Source organism: Homo sapiens, chromosome 12 (assembly GCF_000001405.40).
Source record: "Homo sapiens chromosome 12, GRCh38.p14 Primary Assembly".
NCBI classification, from domain to species: Eukaryota; Metazoa; Chordata; class Mammalia; order Primates; family Hominidae; genus Homo; species Homo sapiens.
The window spans coordinates 48,407,945-48,425,920 of NC_000012.12; the positions used below are offsets into that span (position 1 = coordinate 48,407,945).

The 17,976-nt window shown below is 39.9% G+C and overlaps 1 protein-coding gene and 1 pseudogene across 2 annotated transcripts in view; one reads left to right on the forward strand and one right to left on the reverse strand.

Moving 5' to 3' along the window:
* Positions 1-5,209: 5,209 nt before the first annotated feature.
* Positions 5,210-17,976, forward strand: part of C12orf54 (chromosome 12 open reading frame 54) — an 83,371-nt gene continuing 70,604 nt past the window's right edge. The window contains exon 1 of one of the 2 annotated variants that reach the window (XM_017018796.2): positions 5,210-5,638. The gene's annotated coding sequence lies outside the window, so the exon portion shown is untranslated. The remainder of the gene's footprint in view (positions 5,639-17,976) is intronic. The other variant, XM_011537896.3, reaches the window with a different exon arrangement.
* OR8S21P (olfactory receptor family 8 subfamily S member 21 pseudogene) lies at positions 9,206-9,393 on the reverse strand (annotated as a pseudogene).

Below are 17,976 nucleotides of genomic sequence, written 5' to 3' on the forward strand. Positions count from 1 at the left end.
CTTCCAGTTGATCGCATCAGCTCCTGAGGCTTCTGCATTCTTCCTGTAGTTCTCGAGCCTTGGCTTTCAGCTCCATCATCTCCTTTAAGCACTTCTCTGTATTGGTTATTCTAGTTACACATTCATCTAAATTTTTTTCAAAGTTTTTAACTTCTTTGCCTTTGGTTTGAATTTCCTCCTGTAGCTCAGAGTAGTTTCATCATCTGAAGCCTTCTTCTCTCAGTTTGTCAAAGTCATTCTCTGTCCAGTTTTGTTCCATTGCTGGTGAGGAGCTGTGTTCCTTTGGAGGAGGAGAGGTGCTCTGCTTTTTAGAGTTTCCAGTTTTTCCACTCTGTTTTTTCCCCATCTTTGTGGTTTTATCTACTTTTGGTCTTTGATGATAGTGATGTATGGATGGGTTTTTGGTGTGGATGTCCTTTCTGTTTGTTAGTTTTCCTTCTAACAGACAGGACCCTCAGCTGCAGGTCTGTTGGAGTTTGCTAGAGGTCCACTCCAGACCCTGTTTGCCTGGGTACCAGCAGTGCTGGCTGCAGAACAGTGGATTTTCGTGAACCGTGAATGCTGCTGTCTGATCGTTCCTCTGGAAGTTTTGTCTCAGAGGAGTACCCGGCCGTGTGAGGTGTCAGTCTGCCCCTACTGGGGGGTGCCTCCCTGTTAGGCTGCTCGGGGGTCAGGGATCAGGGACCCACTTGAGGAGGCAGTCTGCCCGTTCTCAGATCTCCAGCTGCGTGCTGGGAGAACCACTGCTCTCTTCAAAGCTGTCAGACAGGGACATTTAAGTCTGCAGAGGTTACTGCTGTCTTTTTGTTTGTCTGTGCCCTGCCCCCAGAGGTGGAGCCATAGAGGCAGGCAGGCCTCCTTGAGCTGTGGTGGGCTCCACCAGTTCGAGCTTCCTGGCTGCTTTGTTTACCTAAGCAAGCCTGGGCAATGGCAGGCACCCCTCCCCCAGTGTTGCTGCTGCCTTGCAGTTTGATCTCAGACTGCTGTGCTAGCAGTCAGCGAGACTCCATGGGTATAGGACCCTCCAAGCCCAGTGCGGGATATAATCTCCTGGTGTGCCGTTTTTTAAGCCCATCGGAAAAGCGCAGTATTAGGGTGGGAGTGACCCGATTTTCCAGGTGCTGTCTGTCACCCCTTTCTTTGACTAGGAAAGGGAACTCCCTGACCCCTTGTGCTTCCCAAGTGAGGCAATGCCTTGCCCTGCTTCAGCTCATGCATGATGCGCTGCACCCACTGTCCTGCACCCACTGTCTGGCACTCCCCAGTGAGATGAACCCAGTACCTCAGATGGAAATGCAGAAATCACCCGTCTTCTGCGTCGCTCACGCTGGGAGTGTAGACCAGAGCTGTTCCTATTTGGCCATCTTGGCTCCCTGTCCTTTTCAAGGTTTTTAGCTTCCTTGCGATAGGTTAGAACATGCTCGCTCCTTTAGCTCAGAGAAGTTTTTTATTACCGGCCTTCTGAAGCCTACTTCTGTCAATTCGTCAAAGTCATTCTCTGTCTTGCTTTGTTCCATTGCTGGTGAGAAGCTGTCATCCTTTGGAGGAGAAGAGGCATTCTGGTTTTTGGAATTTCCTGCTTTTCTGCTCTGGTTTCTCCCCATCTTTGTGGTTTTATCTCCCTTTGGTCTTACATGTTGCTGACCTACAGATGCGGTTTTGGCGTGGATGATCTTTTTGTTGACGTTGATGCTATTCCTGTTTGTTGGTTTTCCTTCTAACAGTCAGGCCCCTCAGCTGCAGGTCTGTTGGAGTTTGCTGGAAGTCCACTCCAGACTCTACTTGCCTGGGTATCACCAACGGAGGCTGCAGAACACCAAATATTGCTGCCTGATCCTTCCTTCCTCTAGAAGCTTCATCACAGAGGGGCACCCACCTGTTTGAGGTGTCTGTCGGCCCCTACTGGGAGGTGTCTCCCAGTCAGGCTACACAGGGGTCAAGGACCCGCTTGAGGAGGCAGTCTGTCCATTTTCGGATCTTGAACGCCATGCTGAGAAAACCACTGCTCTCTTCAGAGCTGTCAGATAGGGACGTTTAAGTCTGCAGAAGCTGTCTGCTGCCTTTTGTTCAGATATGCCCTGCCCCCAGAGGTGGAATCTAGATAGGCAGTAGGCCTTGCTGAGCTGTGGTGGGCTCCACCCAGTTAGCACTTCCTGGCCTCTTTGTTTACACTGTGAGCTACTCAAGCCTCAGCAATGGTGGATGCTCCTCCCCCCATCAAGCTGCAGTGTCGCAGGTTGATCTCAATCTGTTGCGCTAAGAGTGAGCAAGGCTCTGTGGCATGGGACCCACCCAGCCAAGCACAGGAGGGAATCTCCTGGTCTGCCAGTTGCAAAGACTATGGGGAAAGCACAGTATTTGGTCAGGAGTGTACTGTTTCTTCAGGTACAGTCTGTCACGGCTTCCCTTGGCTAGGAAAGGGAAATCCCTCAACACCTTGTGCTTCCAAGGTGAGGCGATGTCCTGCCCTGCTTCAGCTCACCCTCCATGGGCTGCACCCACTGTCCAACCAGTCCCAATGAGATGAACCAGGTATCTCAGTTGGAAATGCAGAAATCACCCATCTTCTGCATTGATCTCACTGGGAGCTGCAGACCAGAGCTGTTCCTATTTGGCCATCTTCTTTTTTTATTTTTAAAAAATTTTTGTGGGTATCTAGGTGTATATATTTATGGGGCACATGAGATGTTTTGATAGAGGCATGCAGTATGAAATAAACACATCATGGAAAGTGAAGTGTCCAGACTTCATCTGTTTTGATCATTGCTATATCCCTAGCATTTATTAGAAGAGTGCCTAGAATGTAGAAAGGGCTCAGTAAATATTTGTTGAATGGCTAAATGACCAAATGAATTTGTTTCATGTCCCTCCATGTTTTGAGTAAGTTCCATGAGGGCAGGGACTCTGTCAGTATTTTTTATCATTTTATCTTCAGAAGTAAGCATGGCACCTGGCATTTAGTAGGTACTTAGTAAAGGTTTATAGAGTAAATGAATAAAAACATCGCAAAGCTACATTTTGCACAAGTCTATTCTATTTTAATGCATTTTAGGAGATCATAAAAATTTGTATATATTTTTGAGATGGAGTCTTGCTCTGTTGCCCAGGCTGGAGTGCACTGGCATGATCTCGGCTCACTCAATCTCTGCCTCCTCAGTTCAAGCAATTCTCCTGCCTCAGCCTCCTGAGTAGCTGGGATTACAGGTGCCCACCACCATGCCCCACTAATTATTGTATTTTTATTAGAGACAGGGTTTCACCATGTTGGCCAGGCTGGTCTGGAGCTCCTGACCTCAGGTGATCCGCCCACCTTGTCCTCCCAAAGTGCTGGGATTACAGGTGTGAGCCACCACTCCAGGCTTACAAACATATTTTGATTATTGAATAAATAAAAGAACAAATATATAAATGAATGCATGATTCATAGGCAACCCCATTTGTGAGACTGCAAGCTGTCCTGGGAGTAAGATGTCATATATGCTGTAATACCTATGGCCCTGTTCCAAGGAAGGGGCCAGTTTGAAGCTGCTGTGGCTCTCTTGGATGGATGGTGATGGGGCTGTATAGAGTCAGAGGACCTTGACATGAGTCTCAGCTCTGCTACTGGTCAGGCATCTGACTTTGGGCAAAGAGGCAAATTTAAATCTTCATTTTCTCATCTGAGATATCTTTCGAGGTTTACATGACATTCTATATAAAAATGAATTATTTTAAACTATAAAGTCTGGTCTGTGGTCCTAGTTCCAACACTAATTGGATTAGCTTGGAAACTTTGGACTACTTAGTTCACCACAGAGAGGGTCTGTTACATTATTGAAAAAAAAATAGGGATAATAACATGTCTTTAGTAGAGTATAATTGATTGCAAAACAAATGCAACTTATTAGTGTATGAACTCCCTATTTCTGATAGGAACTAGCTTAACTAGTTCTTAGTTGATTCTTCTTGGCTTAATCTAAGCACACTGCTAGGCACAAGGTAGTCTTCCCATTTCTGCCTAACAAATGTTATTACTCTTTTATTTGTCTCCTCAGTATTTTTAACTTTTCCTCTTTCAATATTATTCTACCATATTTGCCTTATGAGATTTCTCATCTAGCACTGAATGACTTCAGAAGTCTTATTCGTGGCCCCTTTGTCTGCAGGTTCTCTCCTTCTGCAATGATTTCTAACTTCTGCAATTTCTGGGACAAAACTAAAATGGTAACATAAATAGTCTGAAATTCTATGCATATACTATCAATATAATGAAAAATTTCCACTCTACTTATAATCAAAGACTTGTAAATTGAAACCAGATGGTGACACCAGGTCTACATCTATTTATATGAAAACTATTTTAAATCATAATACCCAGTGCTAGCAAGATTTGGTGAGACCGATATGTCCTTCCATGTTGTTGGAAGCATTATATGTTGATACAATACTTTTGGCAAGATGAAATCTCAAATTTCTTTTGAAAATATATCCTAAGCAAATGATTGAAAAGAAGAGAAAAGTAATCTGTGTGTGAAAAATTTATATTTCAGTATTTTTTTCAAGACAGTTACACTAGGATCAACCCAAAGGTCTAATAACTGAGGAATGGCTACTACATTTTAGTAGAAACACATAATGGAATATTTTCTAATTATTAAAATAATAATTACAGAGGAGAGACAGAAACGGAAAATATTCTTGATATGCTATCTAGTAAAAAGATCAGAAAACACAGTTAGTTTAAATTCATTTGATTATATAAAAATGTGCACACTGCAGGGGCTTATATGGAACTTAAAATAAACAGCTGAGTTGTTAGGGTGGTAACAGAGTGGACAATTCTTTTGGTTTTACTCTTTTTTTTTTTTTTTTTGAGACAGAGTTTTGCTCTTGTCGCCCAGGCTGGAGTGCAATGGCGCAATCTTGGCTCTGCAACCTCCACCTCCTGGGTTCAAGCAATTCTCCTGTCTCAGCCTCCCGAGTAGCTGGGATTACAGGTGCATGCCACCATGCCTGGTTAATTTTGGTATTTTTAATAGAAACGAGGTCTCACCGTGTTGGCCAGGCTAGTCTTGAACTCCTGACCTCAGGTGATCTGCCTGCCTTGGCCTCCCAAAGTGCTGGGATTGCAGGCATGAGCCACCATGCCCAGCCTGATTTTACTTTTTTAAAAAATACGTTTTTTATACTTTTAATGAAAAATATCTTTTTGGGTGGAGTAATATAAATTCACATTCTACTTTTTTGCTTCAAATTCAGCATTTAACTAAGCCTAATTCCAATAAGGAATATGCACCTCTTTCTTTTACCATTCTATATTTGCCCTACATGCCCTCTAATAAAATTGAATTTGGCTGAGAAGCCATTTCTTTAAGAAGGAGACTTGGTTGCTCAGTTGAAGAATAAAAATGGCTCAACAGTTTGATTTTTCTATTAGTTTTTCTGCCTTTTGCCTGCCCTCTGTCTAGCACTCTTCAACCCCAAATCTGTGTTCTAGGAAACTTGTCTGAAGAAGAGGGCGGTCCTGAGGCCACTGAGGAGGTTGGAGGCTGGGGCTTCTCTGCATTGAAATGTCCCTGGTAGAGAAGGCAAAAGAAAAGCTTTTGAAGAGTGTCTTGAAGTGAAGCATGCTGCGCTCCCGTGGAGTGGGAAGAAACTGGTATCAAAGATGTTCTTTTCCTCCTTCTTCCCACACCCTAGTTGCAGACTTTGTGGTCTCCCTGAGTAAATCTTTGTAGACACATGTTGTTTTGACTTTTAAGGAATGAAAACTTTTTTACACTTTTTATGACAAGAATATGAATGGGGATTATAGAGTTTGCTTTATCCTGAAAAATTATATGGAACTGCACAATTAGTCTCTGCTTTCTACCTACTTTGTATTGCTTGAGGATGAGACCTTGAACTAAATGACATCTCAAATTAATTTCAGCCAAAGATCTTGGCATTTAGCTAGGAAATCCCCCACCAGAGAAAATGAGAATACTCCAAACTCACTGTTACCCATAATTCAGGATTGCTCCTCCTTGGCTTCCATCCAGCTCCCCATCTAGCAACTATGGCACTTCACCCCCACTAATTTATTCCAAAGGAATCTTAGCCTTTTGTCCAAAATCTGATAAATGAAGGAAAAGGACAAACAATTACAGATTGATAAAGCGACAAACTGTTCAACTTCCTAAAATATCTTATTCCAGCTCTGTTCATGACCTACTTTTGTGAATTTGGCAGGCGCTTTCTGCTTCCTTTTTCTGAGCCAGTTCTCTGTGCTGTGCAATGAAAAGTCTGGAACAGTTGCTTATTAAGATTCCTCACATGTGGCAGTATGGGAAGGACTGACAAGGACTGTTGACTCCAGTTCTTCCTGGAGATAAGCTCCTGACTACTGCCTCACTTGGAGAAACAAATGATGTGGGGTGCTCAAAGAACTCACGCAGTTCTCCGGAAAATCTGGTTTTCTTTTCCAACCAGTTGACAACTGTATGGTAGTGCATTTAAACAATATTCAACATGTGTTTAGTTTTGGATAAAGGCTAGTGTGTTGGTATGCATGGGCTCTGGTTTCAGTCAGTACCTGCTAAGAGGCTTGGGCTATCCTCTTTTTCTTCCTCCTCATTACTCCTTTACCATTACTGGTTCAGAGGATGGCTCCTAGCCAGTTTGTGTGACTTTCTTCATTTTTTCTAGTCTTTTTCTACTTGGTATCCATGTGCCAGGCTGGCCCTTGGAGAAGGAAAGAGAGTAATCTGGGCCCTAAGTTGCTGGGGATTAATCTATACTCATGGGGAAGGTAGTATTATCCAGTGACCTGGGCCCCTGGGATGGGCATCCACTCCTGCCACTTTTGTGGTCTAGGGAAAGACCATGGAGTGAGGCACTGAAGGCTTGCTAACCCTTCTGCTAGCCAGGGACCAGCGTGGGGCCTCCTCAGGTTTGGCAGGACCTGATCTTCACTATACACCTGCATGCACACATACTCACACCCACGTTCTCTCACACAAATGCAAACAGCTAAGCCTTCCTTCTAGAATCATAGGAGTCTAAGGAGCATAAAAGATCACATGGATCACTTTATTTCTATCTCCAACTAATACATGAGCCCCATTCAGCATCTCCAGTAAGTGTCTATCCAGCCTCCGTTTGAATGTCATCAAGAACTCATTCCCATCAGTGGCTGTAGAAGAGATTCAAAGTTTGTTTGCCTCCATCCTAGCTAAAATCCTGATATTATATTGCCTATGTGACCATATCCATGAACACTCAAACTTCAGTATTTTTTCACGTACTAAAAACAAACAAAACCCAAAACAAAACCAAAAACAAATAGCTCCCTTGACTTCACATCCTCTAAACATACTGCTTTATTTTCTCAATCTCCTTCACAGGAACACTTCTCAATAAAGTTAACTGCGGTTGATCGCTCTACTTTTTCACCTACCATTCTCTTTTCAACTTATCCTAGCTAGCTGAAACTTCTCTCATCAATATTGCCAACTACTTTTAAATCCAATGTTACAAAATCCAGTGGTAGCTTTTCTGTTCTTTTCTTATTTGAATTTTCAATGGCACTCAACACAGCTAACCTCTCTATTCTTGAAGCACTCTCTTCTCTTGGCTTTTGTGATACAAAAATTTTATGATTTTCCTCCTTGTTCAATGGCTGCTGTGCCTCAGTTTCTCTTGGTGGATCATCCTCAGCTTGAACTAGAAATGCTGGCATGCTGCAGGTCTTCTTTCCAGGATTTGTTTTCCTTAGATGTTCTGGAAAACGTTTTCCTTAGATGTTCTATGCCAGTCTTACAGCTCTGAATACTCCATACACCCCATATATTAGCCCTGACCATTTGACCATTTTCTAGAGCTTCAAAATAATATATACAACTGGATACTTGACATTCCACTCTGATATCTAATACAGATTTGGGCATTTTAGTCAAAATGCAACCAACCAGCCAAACTAACAGAAAACAAATCCTCAAGTTTCGCCTTCCTAATGTGCATGTCCCCGATTATCCTGACTTCAGTAAATGATGTACCATCATCTACTCAGTTGCCCAAGAGAAAATCTAGACTTACCTTGAGCCCTCTCTCTCTTTTCTGGTCTATATCTAATGTAGCAGCAAGCCCTATAACTGTACTTCCAAAACATATTCCAAATTTCTCTTCTCTTTTTATCTGATCAATTTTAGTAAAAAAATACCGTCAGATGTCACATGGAGTCTTGCAATAGCTCCTAATCATCATTCCTGATTCTACTCTTGTCCTTCTATAATTAGTGCTCCATAGAGAAGCCAGAGTAATCTTTCAAAACTCTCCTATATCACTGAGAATCAAACACAAATTCCTGACATCATGGTCTAAAAGTTACTATGGGATCTGACTGCGGACAGCCTTTTTTACCCATCGCTTGCTGAGCTTCAGTCATACAGCCTTCTTTCTGTCCCCAATTAACTCAAGTTTCTTCTGTGCCAAAGCCTCTGCATTAGCTCTTTCTTCTGACTGGAATGTCCTTCCTTCTGAGGATGGTGGGCTTCTTTGGTCAGTCAATATTGGCTCAAACAACACCTACCCCTCCAAAAGTCATGTTGAAATTTAATTGCCATTGTATCACCATTAAGAGGTGGAGCCTTTAAGAGGCAATTAGTCCTTAAGATGTGGCTGGGCACAGTGGCTCATGCCTGTAATCCTAGCACTTTGGGAGGCCGAGACAGGTGGGTCACCTGAGGTCAAGAGTTTGAGACCAGCCTGGCCAACATGGTGAAACCCCATTTCTCCTAAAAATACAAAAATTAGCTGGGCATGGTGGCGGGCATCTGTAATCCCAGCTACTCGGGAGGCTGAGGCAGGATAATCACTTGAACCCAGGAGGTGGGGGTTGCAGTGGGCCTAGATTGTGCCACTGCACTCCAGCCTAGGCAACAGAGGGAGACTCCATCTCCAAAAAAAAAAGAGAGAGATGATTAGGCTCTACCCTCATGAATAGATTAATGCTGTTGCCATGAGATGGGTGTCTGATTAAAAGGATGAGTTTGGTATGATCTCCCCTCAGTCTCATGTGCATGCTTGCCCTTCCACCATGTTATATGACACAGCAAGAAGGTCCTCACCAGATGCAACTCCTCAATCTTGGATTCCCAGCCTCCACAATCATGAGTCAAATAAATTTTTTTCTTCATAAATTACCCAATCTATGGTATTATGTGACAGCAGAAAAATGAACAAATACATCCCAGAAAGAAGTGCATGGGTATGCAGAGGTGGAATCAGTTCTGATCACCAGTGGCATTACCAAATTCTCTATCAGGGCCAGGAAGTAAACTCCCAGGAACAGCACAAATAGCAGAGCCTGAATATGGCTGTTAGTAGACACCCCAAGAAGGATGAACTCGGAGATAATGCTGTGGTTCCTCAGAATCAAACAGAAAACTTTCCCTTGGAATAAAATAAATGTTTTAAAACTTCATTTTCTGCTTCCCTATTTCCTCTGAGTCTTAAATCTTTCTGCACAGTATTTCTTGACCTTGGAATCAAGGTTAAAATTCTGAACCATCTTCACTAATTCTTTAGACACAATTAACATCTTTGATTTTGTTATATTCTATACCCTCAACCTTAGTCCAGTCTGATGCCATTAGGTCTTTCAAAAAATTTTTTTTATAATTTCAGCTTTCGTTTTAGATTCAGAGGTAAATGTGCAGGTTTCTTACAAGGGTATATTGTGTGATGTTAAGGTTTGGGGTACAATTGATCCCATCACCAAGGTAGTGAGTGTAACACCCAACAGTTAGTTTTTCAACCCTTGTCCCCCTCCCTCCCTCTCCCTCTAGTAGTCCCCAGTGTCTATTATTGTCATCTTTATATCCATGAGTACCCAGTGTTTAGCTGCCTCTTATAAGTGAGAACATAAGTTCTTTAGTTTTCTGTTCCTGCACTAATTTGCTTAGAATAATGGCCTCCAGTTGCATCCGTGTTACTACAAACAACATGATCTCATTATTTTTTATGGCTGCACAGTATTCCATGGTGTATATGTGCCACGTTTTCTGTATCCAATCCAGCGTTGATGGGCACCTAGGTTGATTCCATGTCTTTGCTAGAAAAAAAAATTTAGATAGAAAACAGACCATAGCATTTGCCAATGCAGGGAGAAATTGCTAATGCAGCAGCAGAGGGGCTGATTGAAGCCATGAATTTATTGCAAATGGGAATTCCATAATGATCCAGAGAATAGTGGAGATCACGTTGGGAATAGGGATTCCTTATCCACTGCAAAATGAAGGAAAGCAAAGCATGTATAAAATGGTACAGGGAAGGCAGGAATTGTAGTGTCTGGAAGGGAAAGACATTCTCTATTTACTGCCTCTGTGCTGTCAATAAACGGCAAGGTAAGTCATCAATAAGCGTGTGCTAGGGAGGCTAATGTTGGCTTGATGGTAGTGTGGAAGGTCTATTCAATATTTTTATTATTAATTTGAGTCCAGTGGTCATTGTTGTGTGATTTTTCTCCAGTTTGCTATGTGTGAAGAGTAAGTTGCCTTTATGTCAGACATGTGAGGGGATAAAGGAAGAGATGACTTAACAAGTGAATTTAGTCTGTGTAAAAAGAGAAGTGATGATATGAGTGGCATGAGAATGAAAATGTGGCAGACACAAGGATCAGCATTCTCAATGCATGTGAGGAATGGTTGGCTTGGGAACACCAAATCATATTAATTAGAAAAGATGTGGCTGTGTTAGAATAAAGTGGTTGAAATTGAGGTTTTTGAAGGTGGTGTATGTAAAGGAAACAGGGACACAAGGAATTCAGTTGGTGTTATTTTAATTAAGATGAAGATTTTTCTGTTGTTTAGTTCTTCCTCTTTTAGAAAATAAGCCACATGATGTTAAAAAAAATTTTAATATGTTACAGTTTTAAATTTTATAAAGTAGAGCCCAAGTAACATAGCCCAGAGATAGCCTAGATGTTTGGTTGTAAGAAGGCACCTGCCCTCATTTTCTCCAGAAAAAAAAAAAAAAGCCTGAATCTTGCATCATTTGCATTTCCTGTAACTCACTGTCCTGATAGGTGGACAGAACTAGAGATCATTATAACAGCAGAAATATCAATGTTCTGGCATCCATAGAAGTGGGATGTTGGTTGAGATGATGTATTGAGCCACAGGGAACTCAAATTACCTTCTTAATGTCCTCTCTTCTATCTCTTCTAGACTGGCAAGTGCCAGAATCCTAATTTCAGCTTCCCTGAAGTTTCATTACCCTAAAGAAATGCAGGCTTTTTGCTCCAAAGACCAGAGAAGGCAGCAGGATATACGAAAATAAACATGGCCTTGAAGACATAGTTGGGATTAGGTCATAAAGCCCTAGTTCTGTTTCTTACTAGCTCTATGATCTTTGGAAGGGTTTTAAGCCTTTCTTATCTCAATTTTTCCAGTCATAAAATGGCATGTAACATCTCTCTTGCGTGGTTTTAAGACTTTTATTTAGATAACTTATGTGCAGTGATCCGCACAATTAACCAATTGGTTATGATTAGACTTTGATGTTACCCATTGCCTTAATTTTAATCTTTCAATGTTCCCAAGCAAAAGAAGAGTCAATTCTGAGAGCAGATCGGAATATGTTAGTGAATAGAGAAATAAAAACAAGATCAAGGAGGGATAGATGATGGGGGGTAGGAGAGAATGACCCCACTATGAGAGCAGAGCTGCAGGAGAGCTCAATGACAAAGAAAGCACACAGCAAGGGAGACATGGAGGAGAGGAAGGGATGAAAAGAAGTGATAAGTGCCCAAGGAGCTGGCCAGAGATATCAAGGCTGACATAACTCTTGTTATCCCCAGTGGAGAGAGCCTCGAGGTACTCTGACCCATTAACAAATGCCCCAGTAAACCTTCACACAGGAGGAAAAGAACAACAACTATCTTTCTCTAGGAAAAGACTTCTTTTGTCTATATAGGTGTCAGTATTAGAAAAAAAGAAATATATTAGCTCGCATGCCAGGAGCCTTCCAGGTAAAGAGCTCAAAACCCTTTTCTAGATTGTTCTAATCTTGTGCTGAATCCAAAAAGAAAAAAGAGAAATATAATTTTGAGAAGTTCTGATTCTTGACAAATAGATATTTGAGCACTTAGACTATTTCAAACACGATTCCACAGTTGGTTTTTTTTTTCACTACTTTCTCTTATCGTTCTAAATATTACCCCAAGAATGTGATGCAAATAAAGACTTCTAAAATCCAGCCATTCAGAAAAGCAGCTAGATGATAATACCCAGTGGGTGGGCAGCTGAGCCTGCAAGCCCAGGAGGCAGCTGAGTTGATGCCTTGCATTCCTTGGGGTTCAGCCAGAAGCAAATTTTTTACCTCATTATCTTAGAAATTTCCTTATATGTATGGATGTATTGACCAAGACAGCCTCAACATTCACCTCAGCTTGACTAAACTTTAGACAGGTTTCTTCCTGAATATAAGACTTAGCCACCCTTTTTTTAGAGCATTTACTTTAGAAAACTTGAAGTTGCAAATTCTTTCTCTGCCTCTTTGAAATGTGTGTAAATATTCTCCAATCCTCTTGCCAGTTTTACAACCCAGGGAATAATCTTTCTTAAGGACCTGGGAACCATCTCTTTGAAATGAAAACTCTGAAGGAGAAAGCATCTCTATCTCCCAGTCTCTGTGGGAGGATAGGAGCCCAACTTAGATGCCAATTTGTAAACACAGATGGCCTAATCACAGAGAAAAATGTAGCAAACTCAGGAATAAGTTAATGTGGTGGACGTACTCCATTAACCAACCTCTCTGCTAATGTCATCTAGTACTTTTCTAAATGATTACCCTGTGTTGAAAAACTCCCCTGCCTTTGGTTTCAGAAGAGTTGAGTTTAATCTCTCTCTGCTATTGCTATAGTCTTGAATAAAGTCTACCTTGCCTGTTTGATATGTCTGGTGCCACATTTGCTTGTATGGTACATATTGATGGATGGATTTAATTTTAACTCATGCACAGAAGGTCAAGTTAAACAAAATTTCTTAGTTCATAGCACCTCATCATCATTGTTCATTTAAAGGCTCTATTCTTCACTGGTTTCCTTTTAACCTCATATTCTACTCCTATTCCTCTCCTCTCCACAGGCACCTCTTCTAAGATATTTAATTCTTATCCTTTTGTCTGTATGTCATATTAGTCCATTCTTGCATTGCTATAAAGAAATACCTGAGCTTGGGTAATTTATATTTTTAAAAAGATGTTTAATTGGCTCACAGTTCTGCAGGGTTTACAGGAAGCATGAGGTTGCCCATCTATTTGGCTTCTGGGAAGACCTCAGGAAACTTACAAACATGGCAGAAGGCAACGTGGGAGCAAGTGTCTTACATGGAAGGAGCAGTAGAACAGAGAGCGCAGGGAGGTGCCACACATTTTTCAACAATAAAGTAGCAATGACAACTCCAAAGAGGGTGGTGTTAAACCATGAGAAACTGCCCCCAGGATCCAGTTACCTCCCACTAGGCCCTGCCTCCAACATTGGGAATTACAGTTGAACATGAGATGAGATTTCGGTAGGGACACAGATCCAAACCATCCATATCATGTGCTTTTTTTTTTTTTTTTTTTTTTTTTTTTTAGATGGAGGATGGAGTCTCACCCTGTCAGCCAGGCTGGAGTGCAGTGGCACGATCTCAGCTCACTGCAACCTCCACCTCCCCAGTTCAAGCGATTATCCTGCCTCAGACTCCCAAGTAGCTGGGGCTATAGGCGCACGCCACCACACCTGGCTAATTTTTGTATTTTTAGTAGAGACGGGGTTTCACCATGTTGGCCAGGTTGGTCTTGAACTCCTGACCTCAGGTGATCCACCCGCCTCAGCCTCCCAAAGTGCTGGGATTACAGGCGTGAGCCACTGTGCCCAGCCAGCATTTTGAATTATTGTTGTGAGTGGTTGCTTTTTTAAAGAATGCAAAAATGAAACCACTGTATGAACACTAGAAAATAAGTAAATTGTATATATTTGGTGTTGATATGCTAATTTGCCAAGAACAATCCAAGAGACTCTAAAACAAAACTAAGAGAACTAATAAGAATTAAAAAGAGAATTTTGTAATGCGGATGGTGTATCTATTAATGTTCAATTAGCAGAAAATAGAATCCACTCTAAGAAAAAAAAGATTTAAAACAGTAAATGTTGTATTAAATAATAATTGTAAGAAGGGTTAAAAGAAGAGGCTCTATTCTCAGATTCTCTAATGAATATCCTTGCACTGAGAATAGCTTTGCTTCTGTTGAAAAAAAAATACTGATAACAGCATTGCAGGAAGTTGATGAATCAGGGAGCTGCTATTGCTACTGCTGACTGCAGGACTTCTAGACATCTGTCTCCATTGTAAAAACACCTGCTGGATGGAGATGCCAAATGCTGAATTAGGATATAGTTGCTACAGTTTCTGCTTAAGAACCATTTCTTTCCATCAGGATTTATATGAGCAAAATGCATCTGACTAATTGGAACTGAATTATGTCGGGAGGCCATGCTTTTTAGCTTTCTACACTTTGAACTCTAGAAGAGTTTTGGAATAAACTGGAATGACCCAATCTAGTATCTTCTACACTGAGTAAAAAATGAGTACACAAAACTTGACCTTTTTTTCTGTACTAGAAATTGTTTGTCATATCATGGAAACAGGAAAACATACTCATTCACAATGGCAAAAATCTCAGAAGTTCTTAGAGGCAACTTGTATAAGAAAAATTAATATTTCTTTGAATGATGTAAAACAATATATGAAGAGATTGAGAAACAATGTTTATGGTTGGAAAGACAGTGAAAATATCAATTTTCTTCAAATAAGTATGTGCAGCTGATGAGAATTTAATTAGAATCCTATTTTTTCATGATTTGATAAGAAGATTTTGATACTCACATGGAAGAATAAATTCTTGAGAATAGACAAGAAAGGGATGAAAAGGATCACTAGTTAAAGCATTCTGGGAAGACTTATTTTATCAGGTATTAGAACAGCTAATACATTTGGTAAAGAAAAGCATGAATTAATATAAAATAATAAAGCCAGACAGCATTGCCAAACTATGTCACGAAGATTTTATTTTTCTTCTGTGAAGAAGGAACAACTTTCATTTCAAATGCATCTGTCAGAGGTGGCTGTGTATTCATAACATAAAACAGTTTACACCCATCTTGTACAGTTTACAATAATTTCTGAGTTGTTTTTGTTTTATATGAGAAGATATTAGAAGAGAACATGTAGACAACGTACACTTGTAGGGTGAGGAAGAACTTCTCAGCCAAGATAAGAAATTTACACAGGAAATGCTATAATAAAAAGTGTAGTTGACTATATAAAATTAAAATTTTGAATGACACAAATTCCACAAGCTAAGTTGATAGAGAAATAATAGAGCTGGAAAAATATTTTCAACAAATACTACAGGAAAGAGATAAGATATTTGACATTCCAAGAATACTTACATGTAGATAAGCAAAATACAAATGCTCCAAAGAAGATTAAGTATAGGCAAACTACAGGAGTGTAAACCAGATGGTTCGCAAAAAGTGAAAGTATGCAAAAATTCAGTAGTGGTCATAGAAATAAAAATTATCATAAAATCAAGCATTTAATTTGTACCCATCTGAACGCCCCCAAATTAAAGAAGAATAAAGTGATTCAGTTTAAGCTACATAGCACTCTGGCTTCCTCTATCAAAACTGAATGTAGCAATGTACTTTGTTTTCTTGCTAGTATATAGAAATACAATTGATTTTTAATATCTTGTACTTTGTACCTTGTGACTCTGCTAAACTGACTAGTTCTACTAACATTTGTAAATTTCTTAAATTTTCTCCATTAATCTATTAATAAAGAGAGTGCTACTCTTTTCATTTCAATCTATCTTTTTTTTCTCTTGCCTTACTATACTGGCCAGAACTACACTACAGTCTTGAATAGAAGTGGTGAAAGCAGGCATCCTTGCCTTGTTCTCCATCTAAGAGGGAAAGCACTCAGTGTTTTTTCCTTTAAATATAATGGTAGATGTTAATTTTTAAAATATATATGTCCCTTTACAAGTTAAGGGTGTTCTCATCTATTCTTAGTTTGATGAGTTCTTTTCTTTTTAATTATAAGTGGAAGATAAACATTATCAAAGACTTTTTCTGCATCTGTTTAGATGATCATATGCTTTTCTTTTCTGGTCTAATAATATGGTGAATTACATTGTGTGATTTTAGAATGCTAAGAGCAACCTTGCATTCTTGGAGTAAATCCCATCTTGTCGTGAAATGTTACTGATTTAAATATTGCTGGATTTCACTTGATGATGTTGAGATAATAAGTTTTGCATGTATATTCATGAGGATATTTGTTCGGAGTTTTCTATTCTTGTATGTTTTTGTCTGGTTTGGGTATCAGAGTCCCAAGAAGTGAATTAGGAAATATTTATCTGCTTCTATGTTTTGGAAAATTTGGTTTATAATTAGTATTATTTCTTTCTATAAATGTTTGTTAAAATTCACCACAAGGCCATCCGGACCTGGAGTTGTCTTCATGAGAAATTTTTAAGTAAAAATTCAATTTTTTTATGCTCACTAGAATGGTTCAAATGAAAAATATCTTCAATAGCAAATATTAGCAAGGATTTGGAGAGCAATTGAAATCCTCATATGTTGCCAATGGGAATACAGAATAGTACAGACACTTTGGAAAGTACTTAAGCAGTTTCCAATAGAGTTAAACACATACTTACCATGTGGCCCAGCAATTTCACTCATAGGCATTTACCAAGATAGATGATCACATATGTCTTCACAAAGACTTCTACTTATATATGTGTATGGTGGAATGGATAAATATATCAACATCACTACGCTAAGGCAAAGAACCCAGACACAAATGACTACCTTATTTTGATTCTATTTATGTGAAATTGTAGCAAAATCAAAACTATAGTCATAGGAAGTTGATCTGTGGTTGCCAAGGGCCAAGGGGTGGGAGGAGGAAACAATCTGTTGCAATGGAAATGTTCTGTATTATCATTGTCATTGTGATTAATACATATATACATTTTTCAAAAATGATCAAATTGTAAATGAAAATTGGTGAATTATATGTAGGCTATATCTCAGTGAAGCTTATTTAAACAAAAGCAATTTTTTAAACTTTTATTTTAGGTTCAGGGGTACATGTGCAGGTTTGTTATATAGGTAAACTGGTGTCACAGGGATTTGTTGTACAGATTATTTCATCACCCAGATAATAAGCCTAGTACCCAATAGTTATTTTTTCTGATCCTCTCCCTCCACCCATCCTCCACCCTCAAGTAGGCCCCACTGTGTGCTGTTCCCCTCTTTATGCCCATGTGTTCTCATCATTTCACTCCCATTTATAAGTGAAAACATGCAGTATTTGGTTTTCTGTGTTAGTTTGCTAAGGATAATGGTCTCCAGCTCCATCCACGTTCCCACAAAGGATATAATCTCGTTCCTTTTTATGATTGCATGGCATTCTGTGGTGAAAATGTACCACGTTTTCTTTATCCAATCTGTCATTGATGCACATTTATGTTGATTCCATGTCTTTGCTGTTGTGAATAGTGCTGCAATGAACATATGTGTGCATGTGTCTTTATGGTAGAATAATTTCTATTCCTCTGGGTATATACCCAGTAGTGGATTTCTGTTTCAAATTGTAGTCCTGTTTTTAGCTATTTGAGGAATCACCACACTGCTTACCACAACAGTTGAACTAACTTACACTCCTACCAGCAGTGTATATTAGCATTCCCTTTTCTCTGCAACCTCGCCAGCATCTATTATTTTTTTACTTTTTAATAGTAGCCATTCTGACTAGTGTGAGATGGTATCTCATTGTGGTTTTCATTTGCATTTCTCTAATGATCAGTAATACTGAGCTTTTTTATATATACTTGCTGGCCACATATATATCTTCTATTGAAAAGTATCGGTTCATATCTTTTGCTCATTTTTTAATG